The sequence below is a fragment of the Homo sapiens genome, chromosome 8, assembly GCF_000001405.40.
Source record: "Homo sapiens chromosome 8, GRCh38.p14 Primary Assembly".
NCBI lineage: Eukaryota > Metazoa > Chordata > Mammalia > Primates > Hominidae > Homo > Homo sapiens.
Genome location: NC_000008.11, coordinates 139,404,065 through 139,417,958, shown reverse-complemented (window position 1 = coordinate 139,417,958; position 13,894 = coordinate 139,404,065). Strand labels below are relative to the sequence as shown.

The window sequence follows — 13,894 nt, the reverse complement described above, 5'->3', positions numbered from 1 at the left end:
AAAAAAGGGTTTAATTATCTAAAAATTAAATGAGATTATTTAATCCAGTCCCACATAATCTGAATTTTCCTTCTACTACAGAAATTTTAAAATGGGATATATATACACACACACACACACATATGCATTATATATACTGCATATATATGTATATATAATGCATATACACATATGCACTATAAATTAATGCCTTAGAATGGTTACCTACTGAAACATATAAATGATTTGAACAGTCACAACTCTTAGGGAATATTCAGGAGTAGTCGGTGCCATTGCACTGGTTTTCTGACCCATGCAGTCTGCCTTGCAAGGATGGAACACTGTTAACCAATCACTCACAGCTTTCCTGACACACCCTGGCCATGTGCCATGGACCACAGACAATGGGTTTTGCATCAGTAAATCGGGGTTGTGTTTATTTGTTTTTAAAGTGGTCTTTCTAAAGACATTTTAGGGCAATTCTGCTGTTGGAATGCTTATCATGTTTAGACTCCTAGTATAACGGGTTTGTTTTGTTTTGCTTTTTATTGTAATTTATTCAACAAATATTTATTTTATACCTGCTATGCCACTGAGCTCTTTTAAGCAATGAAGAGACATCAGTAAACAAAACCAACTAAAATTTCTGCCCCCAAGGAGCTTAGATTTAATTGCAATGCAAAAGATTTTAATGGAAAGAGTGTTCTTAGGATAATTTCAATAGTAAGTAAATGGATATCAGACTAATAGCAGCTTAAGATCAAGACTCTTCTGAGTTACTTAAGAAGCCCAGAAGTGAGCAGTGCCAGTATTGATGATAATGTTTGAAGGATGTCATTAAACTCTGAGGCTTCTGTTTTTTTGTGTTTTTTTTGAGACGGAGTCTCACTCTGTCGCCCAGGCTGGAATGCAGTGGCAGGATCTCAGCTCACTGCAAGCTCCGCCTCCCGGGTTCACGCCATTCTCCTGCCTCAGCCTCCCAAGTAGCTGTGACTACAGGCACCCGCCACCAAGCCTGGCTAATTTTTTGTATTTTTATTAGAGACAGGGTTTTACCGTGGTAGACAGGATGGTCTCGATCCCCTGACCTCGTGATCCGCCCGCCTCGGCCTCCCAAAATGTTGGGATTACAGGCTTGAGCCACCACGCCCGGCCTAAACTCTGAGGCTTCTTCAGGCGCTGTGCTCTGCCATTCCTGCGTGGTGATGCGACATCATGGTTTCAAGATGGCTGCTGGAACTCTAAGCTACACATCCTCAAATCATAGCTACCCAGGCAGGAATCAAAGGTGCAGCATAAAATAACTTTTCTCTATCCAGTCATTTGGAGAAAACTTTTCTTGGAATCCCAATCAGACTTCTCAGTTTTCAGTAGCCAGAAGTGGGCCCATTCTCACTGCTACATCAGCCATATACATCGCCGTGCCTGCCTTACACAAACCGTGATTGGCATCCTGGGTAGGTGTGTACCCTGGTGCCAGAAAAAGAAATCTGAAGTCTGTTACCAGGAATAAGAGGGGTGGCTGTCGGTTGGGCCACCTTAGGTTTAATTTAATCATATTCTTGGCTTAAACTTTTTCATTGTGAAATTTTGTAGCATTACTGTTTTCTGATATTTAATATTGATCTGGAGATGTATGTGTCCTGTCTCATATTTTGCCTTCTTTAGAATGTGATTTCCTTTTTCTGCCTGAAAAGTATTTTTATTGTTGAGTTCAATATATCAGTTAGAATGTGTCATGGAGTTGAGGGATTTGAAACAATTTTTTTCTGGTTTATTATTTCAGTCTTTATCATTTCTATATTTTAGAAATTTTTCTTGTATTTTACCTTAAATGTGTCATCTGCATCCTTTGTGGATTTTTTTTTTTTACTTTACAGCCATTAATTATGCTTAGTTTGGCTTCTTTTTGCCCTACTTATCTATTATTTTATCCTTCATCATTTCACTATTTCTCTTTTTCATCAGAAATCACTATTTTAAATCCCATAACTTTGGGAGGCCGAAGTGGGCAGATCACCTGAGATCAGGAGTTTGAGACCAGCCTGGCCAGTATGGCGAAACCCCGTCTCTACTAAGAATACAAAAATTAGCCAGGTGTGATGGTGCCTGCCTGTAATCCTAGCTACTCAGGAGGCTAAGGCATGAGAATCGCTTGAACCCAGGAGACAGAGGTTGCAGTGAGCCGAGATCATGACACTGCACTCCAGCCTGGGTGACAGAGTGAGAATCCGTCTAAAAAAAAATATATATATATATATATTTTTTATATCACTATTTTAAACCTATCTTCTACAGCAATCGTCAGCCATGTTTATTCTGCTTAATCAGAACTTATTAGTTCTATAATGTCAAATTAAATAAATCTTCCATATGCATTGTTTAAGATAAGAAACCAAATGGATTCAGATCCTTAAAAGCTCTGTAGACCAAGAGGGGAGATACAGATAATTCTAAGATTCTTCTTCAAAAGAGGTATCGCTATTAACATATATTCACGTATTACAGAAATTAGGTTGCATGTGGTTACCAGGCCAGCTCAGTTGCAGAATCTGCACCGTCTCTCCAGGCCCAGTTTCCACACGTCCCTGCTCTGTCTTGTGCTCCAGTAGGCTGGGCTCTGAGGACCTGATCAAAAAGGCTGCCTTTGCTTGGTTTCTCCTTCTAGTTGCATTCAGCCAAGAGTGGCCTTGGTAGAAGGAGGAGCAAGAAGCAGAAGGAGATCAGGGCATTTGTTACCAAAGTTCCTTCCCTTCTGCTCTAAGGTTTCACAGTGGCTTTCTTCTACCTATGCTCATCTCCTTTCAGGCAGCCCTTCCTGCAGCTTCAGTCCTTCCTTGTTGGCTTCCAGCATTAGCTTCTTCCCTGTCCCCTCAGGCCCAGGGTCTTCATTCTTCTCTTGTTTGCACCCTTGTGCTTCACCTTCTCATGTTTATTTCCCTCAATGCTCCCCTCACCTTGGTTAATAGGCAATTTGCTCCATAATTTTCAATCACCCCTATTGAGTATGGTGTCTGTGTTCTGCTTAACCTTAATGGATACAGTGATCTAGAAGCATCAAAAGCCCTTAATGATTACAGTTTATATTGCTCAGGAAACACATTCAAACCTTGACATCTAGATGTCTGGGTTGGGGGCGGAAGCTAGTTTTACTTGCTTTGTGTGTGTGTGTGTGTGTGTGTGTGTGTGTGTGCATATTTCTGCTGCCTTCCCTTTTCTGCAGTATGGTTAGGTGGTTTACACACCATTACTTTTCCTTTTGATCATCTTTAGAAGGCTCAATCCTTTCTATTTTCTCTGCTGTAGTGAGGATGACTTCTTGACTCACTGCTCATCATATGTGAGGCAACACTTTTTCTCTAATAGCTACAGTTTAAGAACATATTCTATCTACTCTTCTGACTTAGGAAATTGCTAGAGTTTAGCTAAGAGGCTGTTATGTCAGCTGGGATGGATTTAGGGTCAATGCTAGAAAAAAATGAGTTTAGCAGTTTCCTGTGGGATTTCATTAAATGTCTGGTGCCAGGTGTCACTGCAGCTTGCTGGAGATGGTAACTAATTCCATGGGGGATATCTCTGGACTTCATATTTTCCTCTCACTGTAGCTTTTCTATCCTCATTCCCATCAGAGAGAGACAACAATGAGTCACCTCTGTGGCTGATTAAAAATGGTCACAAAGTATTTGATATTCTTTCCATGGAAAACAGAGTCTACTCTTCCTATCCTTGAATCTGGGCTGGCCTGGGACTGTTTTGACCAATAGAGTATGTGAGAAGTAATCTTATGCTTGCTCTGGGGCTACACTTTAGGCAGATTGGCGGCTTCTGGCTCATTCTGCTGGAAGATAGCCATCATGTAAAAAGGACATGCATCCTGAGATCATCATGCTGTGAAAAGCCCAAGCCATGCAGAGAGGCCCTGGCAGATGACATGCCACATGGAGATGGGGAGACCAAAGAACACAGGATGCTAAACATTTGAGTGGAGAAGCCATCTTGGGAGTGGGTCCCCCAACACCGGCTCGCCCTCTGGAGACCACGTGGATGAGTGTCAAACTGCTCAGCCAAGCAGTTTCCTGAATCTTGACCTACATGATTGTGAACAAATAAAATGGTTCTTTTAAACCACTACATTTTGGGTAGTTTGTGATGCAGCAACAGAAAACAAGAGCAACCACTTTCAACAATTTTGTTCCAGTAACTTTCTCCAGCTCTCTCCAGTCAGATGGGAAGAAAAATAAGAATTCCTGTTTTGTTTGGCTCCTTCTGGATGAGTGAATATTCTCTGGATTTGGGGTCGATTGACCAGTTCCGCTTTGTGGTTGAGGACAGAATTAGAAGTTGTGCCATGCTACAGTTCTCCTTATGAGCATGAAGGAAACATGAATACTTTAAAAAGCGGGAAGATATACACATATATATATATATATGTATTTTGAGACAGAGCCTCACCCTGTCGCCCAGGCTGGAGTGCAATGGTGTGATTTTGGCTCACGGCAACCTCCACTTCCTGGGTTCAAATGATTATGCTGCCTCAGCCTCCTGAGCAGCTGGGATTACAGGTGCCCGCCACCACACCCAGCTAATTTTTGTATTTTTAGTAGAGACGGGGTTTCACCATGTTGGCCATGCTGGTCTCGAACTCCTGACCACATGATCCGCCCTCCTAGGCCTCCCAAAGTGCTGGGATTACAGGCATGAGCCACCGTGCCTGGCTGAAAGTGGGAAGATATATTTTTTATTCCTTTCTTATTTGGCCAACGTTTATGTACCACTTGTCATGTTCCAGACAGTATGTTAACTATGGGGCAACAAATAGATGAAGAATAGGAGTGCGTGGCTTTGTGGAGCTTGCATATTAAGGACAATACAGAACCAGAAACCAATGACTAGGCTATTGTAGAATAAGTGCTTGTCGTAGAAGTGCAGGAAAAAGGGATCTTGTAGGTGTTTCCGTAGGGGATGAACATTGAACTGGGTTCAGGCAAGGGAGCATATGGGGTGGAGAAAGGAAGTGAATTACAACCAGAAGTGAGATAGTACAAAATAAGGAAGTAGAAAAGCTCTGGAAACTGTAAGTTGACTAGGACACAAAGTAGAAACTTGTTTATGGGGCTATGTCCTTCATCTCATGAGTAAATGGTGAGCTAGAAAACTGCCTCTCAAAAAACAAACAAACAAACAAAAAAAGAAATCACTGATTTGCAGAATTTGCTATTTTTTTTTCCTAAATTGTCTCACCACAGCCAATTTCAGGCTAACATCAATTTAACAACTGGCTTGCAAAATTCCTAAATATTAACAATGGACTCTCTGAAGCCAGTATGAGCAAATGTCAGCACACAGTCAACTGAAGGATTTTGAAAATGTGAGTGACATAAACGAATTTGTGCTTTACAACATCACTCTGGATAATCATTTAGAAGCCCATCAAAACAATCTGGATGAGAGATTCTTGAGGCGAAACTAAACAACTGATTGTAGATCTAGACAGAGGAGGGGACACACACGCACACACACACACACAAATATATTGAAATGATACATTATAAGGGAAAGGTAACAGGCTTTGGTGACAGGTTAGACTCAATAAGCAAAGAAAAGGAGCCAGAGATAAGCAGAAAATTCAGAGATACAATGTGGGGATCAAGTCATGAAGAAGTTTGCATGTACAGGAAATAATCTCTAACAATAGAGAGCCACTGAAATATTTTAAATCATGGAAGGAGATGATTAGATATGCAGTTTGATCCTGAAGACAAATGATACTTCTTAGAAAACACTTACATAGAAAGGCTGTTGATATAACCCTATATATTAATAGATAAAGATAATTGGCTGTCATTATTTTAAATAAATCTTAAGTGGCAACGTCTTATTCCAGAAATACAAAAATGGTTTAACACTGGAACTAGAACATTCATTAAAATAATTCTACACCTTAATATATCTAAGCCCAGAAAAGATTTGGTTGTATCATTTGACATAAAAAAAGTTCTGAATTTTATTCAAGATTAATTTATAACAACTCTTTGAAAAAAATAGTAACAAGAGGAAGCCCCTGTTGGCTAAAAAGTACTAACTGGCTAGGTGTGGTGGCTCACTCTTATAATCCCAGCACTTTGGGGGGTCAAGGCAGGATAATCACTTGAGGCAAGGAGTTCAAGATCAGCCCAAACAACATTGTGAAACCTCATCTGTACAAAAAATTTTTGGCTCACGCCTGTAATCCCAGCACTTTGGGAGACCAAGACAGGTGGATCATGAGGTCAGGAGTTCAAGACCAGCCTGGCCAAGATGCTGAAAATCCCGACTCTACTAAAAATAATAATAAAAAATTAGCCAGGTGTGGTGGCATACACCTGTAATCCCAACTACTCGGGAGGCTGAGGCAGGAGAATCGCTTGAACCCAGGTGGCAGAGGTTGCAGTGAGCCAAGATTGCACCACTGCACTCCAGCCGGGGCAACAGAGCAAGACTCCATCTCAAAAAAAAAAAATTAAAAGAACTATCCAGTCATGGTGGCATCCACCTGTAGTTCCAGCTACTCAAGTGGCTGAGGTGGGAGGATTGCTTGAGCCCCGGAGGAGGGTGAGGTTGCAGTGAGCTATGATTGTACCACTGCACTCCAGCCTGGGTGATAGAGTGAGACCCTGAAAACAGAAGAAAGAAAGAAAGAGAAAGAAAGAAAGAAAGAATTTATTATAGTAAGGATTGTACTTGTGGTGAGCCATTAGAAGCATTTTAATTATATTAAAACAGAACTAAATACTTCCTATGAACATATCTAATTTACATTTTACTAGAGGTCCTAATTAGCACAGTAAAATAAGAGAATAAGAACTGGGATACATGAGAATTACAAAGGAAGAGAGAAAATTATCCATATTTACAAATATTAATAAGGTTATCTACATAGAGAATCTAAGAGAATATAAATATACAGAAAAATAGGAAAATCAAAGAGGTGCTGGATGCAAGTTTACTGGATCATGGTTGCTAGATTCAATATAAACTCTCATAAATCAATGGCTTAACTATAATAATAACAACTTAGAAGCTGTAATGGCAAAACCAAAAAAAAAAACCCTACCCATTTGGTTAGACAATATGGAAAATCTAACAAAATATGCAAGGCCTTCATGTAGAAAATTCTGACACATTATTAAAGGATATAGGAGAAGACAGAATAAATGGTGATATGTACTATGTTCATGGAAGAGTAGATTGACTATAATAAGATTCCTGTCATCACTAATCTAAAATTTTAATAAAATTCCACTACAAATAACTAAACTTTTTCCCCTTCTAATTTAAGCTGCATCTAAAATATAGATGAAAGAGAAGGCCCAAAGTGTCAGATATCAAACCTTATTACAAAGATGGGGCAATTAGGATGATGTGCTATTAACATAGGGATAGGAAAATAGGCCAAAGGATCAGAATAGAGATATATTTGATATATCAGAGAGCTATCATTAAAAATGTATTAGGAAAAGATGGTGCTAAAGTTATTACTTTTATACATGCAAAAATAGATTCTTTATTTGCAGCATGTCCAGAAATTAATTACAAGTATGTGAAAGACCCAAATAAAAAGTCAAAAAAACTTCTAGAATAACATTTAGGAAAATATATTTGTAACTCTATAGATAAGAAAAAAAGTCTTAAACAAGACAATAAACAAATACAGATTATGAAGGAAAAGATCAACAAAGAAATTAATTACAAGTATGTGAAAGACCCAAATAAAAAGTCAAAAAAACTTCTAGAATAACATTTAGGAAAATATATTTGTAACTCTATAGATAAGAAAAAAAGTCTTAAACAAGACAATAAACAAATACAGATTATGAAGGAAAAGATCAATAAAGAAATTAATTACAAGTATGTGAAAGACCCAAATAAAAAGTCAAAAAAACTTCTAGAATAACATTTAGGAAAATATATTTGTAACTCTATAGATAAGAAAAAAGTCTTAAACAAGACAATAAACAAATACAGATTATGAAGGAAAAGATCAATAAACCTTAGCAAATTAAACTTAAAAGGTTTTTTTGTGTAATATAAAACCATAAAGAAAATTAAAAAAATAAAGGCAAGTTACCAACTGGGAGAAGATATATGTGGTAAAAGTATTAGTACCTAGGATGAATAAATACCTCCTTCAAATCAATGTGAAAAAGACAAAGACTGAATGGAGAAAAATGACAAAAAGATATAAGCAAGCAATGTCACTAGATGGCAATTCACTAGCAATTCACTAGATAACAAGAAGCTTATGAAACAAGGTACACAATTTTACTGGTAATCAGAGAAAAGTGAATTAAAGCCACACTTTTGGAGGCCAAGGTGGGTGAATCGTCTGAGCTCAGGAGTTTGAGACCAGCCTGGGCAACATGGTGAAACCCCATCTCTACCAAAATGCAAAAAAAGTAGCCAGGCATGGTGGCACACGCCTGTAATCCCAGCTACTCAGGAGGCTGAGGTGGGAGAATCGCTTGAACCCAAGAGGCAGAGGTTACAGTGAGCCGAGATCGCATCACTGCACTCCAGCCTGGGTGACAGAGCGAGACTCCATAAAAAAAAAAAAAAAAAAGGCCACATTGAGATATGATTTCACAGCAATCAGATTGGCAAAAGCTAATAAAGCTGGAAAGACACAACAATGTGTTGCAAGGATCTGTAGCAAAGTCCACTCTCATGACAGTTGATGACAGAAAACCTGGAGCTGTATAGTAATGTTGAAGATGCCCATAATTTCACATCACCAATTCTGTAACTGTGTATAAATCACAGGGACACATGTGCATATGGAGACATAGAGAAGAGTATACATGATTATTTTTATTTTTGAAAAATGACAACCTAAAAGCCAAAACCAGGAAATGTATAATTATATAATTGTATAATATACTCATAAAATAGAATCATACAGCCATGAAAAGTGAATTAGATCTACATGTATCCACTTGGATATATTGCAAACACTTTTTGAATGAAAATAGCAAGTTACAGAATGACAGGATCTATAGGATACTATTTTATAAAGTTTTAAACCATGCTGATATATAGATACACATATATAGTCATAGCTATAATATAGAGAGACTTAGTATGAAAAATACAGGGGAATGATAAGGATCAAATATAGGATAGTGACTTACTGATAGATGGGGGGTATAAAATCAGAATATGGAGAAGATACAAAGGAAGGTTCTGTTCTATCTGTTTCATTTTTTAACATATGAAACAATGTATATACCCACAAATACAGATGTTTGGTAAAGGTGGCTGATGGACACGAGTTTATTATATTATTATTTTCTATATTTATGTTTAAAATTTTATAAGTTAAAATATTGATATATACTCATGATTCTTTTTTTTTTTTTTTTTTTTTTTTTTTTTGAGATGGAGTCTCACTCTGTTGCCAGGCTGGAGTGCAGTGGCGCGATCTCGGCTCACTGCAACCTCCGACTCCGTGGTTCAAGAGATTCTCCTGCCTCAGCCTCCCGAGTAGCTGGGATTATAGGCACATGCCACAACACCCAGCTAATTTTTGTATTTTTAGTAGAGATGGGATTTCACCATGTTGGCCAGGCTGGTCTCGACCTCCTGACTTCGTGATCTGCCTGCCTTGGCCTCCCAAAGTGCTGGGATTACAGGCATGAGCCACCGCACCCGGCCTATACTTATGATTCTAAAATATCAAAAACATAAGAGTTGATGTAGTAGAAAGTGAGATTTCCTCCTTCTGATTCCTAATCCCAGTTCCTCTCTTCAGTTCCTTGTATCTTTTCTATCTTTTTATCTTTTTTTTTTTTTTTGAGACGGAGTTTTGCTCTTGTAGCCCAGGCTGAAGTGCAATGGTGCAAAGGATCTTGGCTCACTGCAACCTCTGCCTCCTGGGTTCAAGCGGTTCTCCTGCCTCAGCCTTCCAAGTAGCTGGGACTACAGGCACCCACCACCACGCCTGGCTAATTTTTGTATTTTTAGTAGAGATGGGGTTTCTCCATGTTTTGGCCAGGCTGGTCTTGAATTCCTGACCTCAGGTGATCCGCCCACCTTGGTCTCCCAAAGTGCTGGGATTACAGGCGTGAGCCACCGCACCTAGCCAGTTCTTGTATCTTTTCAGGAGTATTCTCTCTATATAAGCAACTATGTGGTTGCATATTTATATATGCTCACCTTTACTTACAAAATAAATCACGCTATATGAATCGTTTCTCACCTCAATGCTTTTCTAAATATTTTATTTATTCCATTACAATTTTCTACAACACTTAGCCAGGCAGAATAAACACACTCAATCACCCCAGGCTGCCTTGTTCTTGAGTAACATCTACTTTGCTCTTGGGACCACTTCAAATTCTGGCCTTTACCTCTTTCTTCAGTCCCTTCACTCCTTCTCATCCCCCATCTCTAGGTTACTCACCACCAGTCCTCCCTACATGCCATCACTAAATAATGATACCTAAGATAAAGCCTTCAGATATCTTAAAAGGGAGTCAGACTGCCTGGATTTGATGCCTGGGTCTACCGCTTCCTAGTGGGTAATCTTGGGCAACTCCTGTAATCTCTCTGCACCCAGACTCTCCTTGTTTTTAAAACAGGGATAACAATACACATCCCAAATTATTAAATGAGATAATATAGGTAAGTGCTTAGAAGACAGAGTTGACAAGTGGGACTTAAGCTGTAGTCTGATCTATCTATCTATCTATCTATCTATCTATCTATCTATCTATCTATCTATCATCTATCTATCTATCTATCATCATCTATCTATCATCTATCTATCAATCACATATCTCGATTTATCCATGTTTGTCCTTCTACACTGCCTACTTAATAAAACCTGTAGGCTGCCCACCTTACCACCCACATATGACTGTCTGCTGCCTCTCCAGCTTGAGCTCCTCGGCTCACTGTGGTTGGCCCTCTGCCCTCACTAGTGTTGTTCTAGAAAAGCTGTCCATTCCTTCCCCTCCCCAGACCCATCTTGCCTGACATCTGTGCTGCACTGGACTCTTTGCCAGCTACTTTCTCCTTGAAAACCCAGCTCTCCTGGCATCTGGGTTGTTGCTCTCCCCTGTTGTTCCTATACCTGCCTGGCCTCCTTTATATTCTCCACCAGGGGCTGCTCCTCTCATGCCTTAACACCCTTAAAATGTCAGCATCGCCTGCAATTTCTTCTTCAGTCCTTTTCCATTCTGAAGCTGTTTGGAGTGCATGCTTACTCTTTTGTCTGGTTATTTCCTGGGGGGACCTCATGCATCCCTCTTGGTATAGTTTCTTCCACTACACTGTTGATTCTCAGATCCCAATATCTCCATCCTCACTCAGGCAGGGGGCCCCAGACTTGTCTGCCTCCTGGGGTTCCTCCTCTCCCTGCAAACCTCCGCTTTCATGTCTGGTGTCCATGAATGGCCTTGCCATCCTCCTCTCCTTACATCCAATCTGTAACCACAGTCTCTTGATTAAATCTTTAAATATAATGAAAATAATCACTCTAACAAGGTTTAGTGAGTAGGCATTATTTATCAAGAATTGTGCTAAGCATTTTATATAGCTTATTCCTCTTAATTGGCATGGGAGCTCTGTAATGTGGACACTGTTACCTCCTCGCAATTTTTCAGGCCTGGATAGTGAGGTTAAGTAATTTGTTGCATGGCTGCAAAGAAATGGCACCCCCTAATAAGGCACCCTCTGCATTCCCATTGCCTGCATCCTCCCTGAAGACAGAACAAGCTTCCTAAAACACATCAAATGCATCACTTCCCAGGCTGAAAACCACTCAGGGGCTTCCCATCAGCTCTAGAGTAACACCCAGCTTCTTTGCATGACATACGTTCCTTGTGATCTGCGTCCTACCTACCTATTTACTGTCAGATTTTGCTAATGATGGTGGAGTCTTGGGCTCGCTTGCATTTCTGGCACCCAGCAATTCCTTCCCAGGTGGTGCTTGCTCCAGGCTCTTGCTCCAGCAACTCAGTACAGTAGGGTAACAGCACCTGAGAAGCTCTTTGCTGCCCCCTACTGGCACTCATAAACCACCGGTGAGAACCATGAAGGTGGATCTGTGAACGGTTGTTCGGCGGGACTCCCGTGACTTCAGACATGGTTTCTGTGGATTTTATACAGAGCTCCTGTTGTGAACGCTGTGTATCCACAGCATTAATGGCTCTTCATCATTAAAGGGTCAGCATGCAAGGGTGTATTTCACCAGCTGCCGGGAGGCGGGTGGCTAACAGTTCTCCACCCTTAGCCCCTTTTGGGACCGCCTCCGCTGAAGAGAGCTACCTGGCTGTGCGTCTTATCTCCCACCTTCCAGGGCGACTCAACCCAGTGGTTGCTCAAGGAGCTGTATAGAGCTCCGGCTCCCTCCTTTCAACTCAGGCCAATTCTGAAGGGTGGCCTCAGCTTCAGAGCTTCCATTAATCGCCACTGAGGCCTTGCCGTGACTTACAGCCTGACCTGCGTCCTATCCTCGCCCTAGGTGATGGCCCTGAGAACTCTCGCCGGTAAGTCTCCTCACCTGTTTCCACCTGAGCCCGCTTCTGCTTCCAGGAGCTGGACCTAAGCAGCCGCCTGGAGGCAACTGGCTGGTGCTCATCACTCCCCGACTGGAATCAGAGCCCCAGGGGTGGAGCCTCCAGAACTTGCATTTCTGGTCTGCATCTCTGAGTTCAGGAAGTTTTGCAGCAAGCTTAGAAAGGAGAAAGCATGGGCGCCCTGGAAGCCAGACCTGGGGCCCAATTCCAGTTCCACTATGGCCCGGTGACTCCAGGAAAGTCACTTAACCACCAATGCTTGCTTCTCATCTGAATATCGGGATTCCTTAAGATTTACCTCAGAAGACTGTTGTAAAGTTTGAATAAGATAAATCTTGCTAATCATATATGTTTAAAAGCTTAGCACTGTGCCACCCACAGAGCAAGTAGTCAGTGAGCGCCGGCCTTCTGCCCTCTTGACAGGTAGAGCTGTTGGTGAATAACCAGTGTGATCTGAGCATTGTAAAGTGCTGCACAACAAAACCCTCTCATCCCATAAGACCTGAACTCAGACTGCTTACAATTCTTTTATTTGGCTCAGGGCATTGTCTTCCACCCTTGTTAACATGCACATGCCCTCTGGGCAAGTTCAATTGTCACTCAAGAAGTTCCTAAATCTGCTGAGTCTTGGCACTATAGCCACAGCCTGTTCTCCAGCTGTCAGTTCTCCACTGTCAGTTCTCCACCTTTTCTCCACTATAGCCACAGTGAGTCTCTCTCCAGGGAGTTGAGATCAAAACGCACCGAATGGTTGGGGTGGAGGGGGGCTATGAACTCTCCAGGGTGTGGGCCTGGGGAAAGCTAAGGGACAGGAGGTGAGACAAATACATGCCTGCAGCCAGAGTTCTGCACCTGCTCTGTTGCTCCTGGGTCCTGTTCCTGCAAACACCTGGCTGCTACTTTTTAAACATCTTCCCGTTCCATTTCTCCCCGGCTCCCTGGACACTGACCAAGTCACTTCCGGGAGACTCTGTGGTCCAGATTAAATTCTGAGAAAATGACTTCAGTATGTAGAGTATCATCATCCCCTTGGAAAAAGAAGTTGGCAAAGGAATGCCGGGCTGCCTCCCACTGCTCGGTGATCTGTGCCTGGTCTCATTTTCCATCCCGAGATGATGTCTCCACCCCTCCCTGAGGTCCCAGCTGACCAGCCCTTCCCCCACCTGACAGTGTAACTGATCCTCCTGTGCGGAATGCCCAACCTGGAGGTGCTGACCCTCCTGTGAGGGATGCCCAACCTGGAGTTGCTGCTCTCTCTTCTGCCCACATCACTCTGCTTCTGCACTGGGATAAAGATGCAGAACATGGTGGGCTTTCTTCACAGTGCTGGCCCACGTCATTAGTCCTCCCTGACCCCA

At 41.5% G+C, this 13,894-nt stretch overlaps 2 annotated features.

Moving 5' to 3' along the window:
• Positions 11,931-12,040: a silencer, noted in NCBI's record as "silent region_19572". NCBI's record gives its function as "represses an Ori minimal core promoter by ATAC-STARR-seq in GM12878 lymphoblastoid cells {active_cell/tissue: GM12878}" and the evidence as "EXISTENCE:reporter gene assay evidence [ECO:0000049][PMID:35858748]".
• Positions 12,660-13,308: an enhancer, noted in NCBI's record as "NANOG-H3K4me1 hESC enhancer chr8:140416894-140417542 (GRCh37/hg19 assembly coordinates)". NCBI's record gives its function as "activates a minimal SCP1, AML or CMV promoter by ChIP-STARR-seq in naive and primed H9 embryonic stem cells {active_cell/tissue: H9 hESC(naive and primed)}" and the evidence as "EXISTENCE:reporter gene assay evidence [ECO:0000049][PMID:30033119]".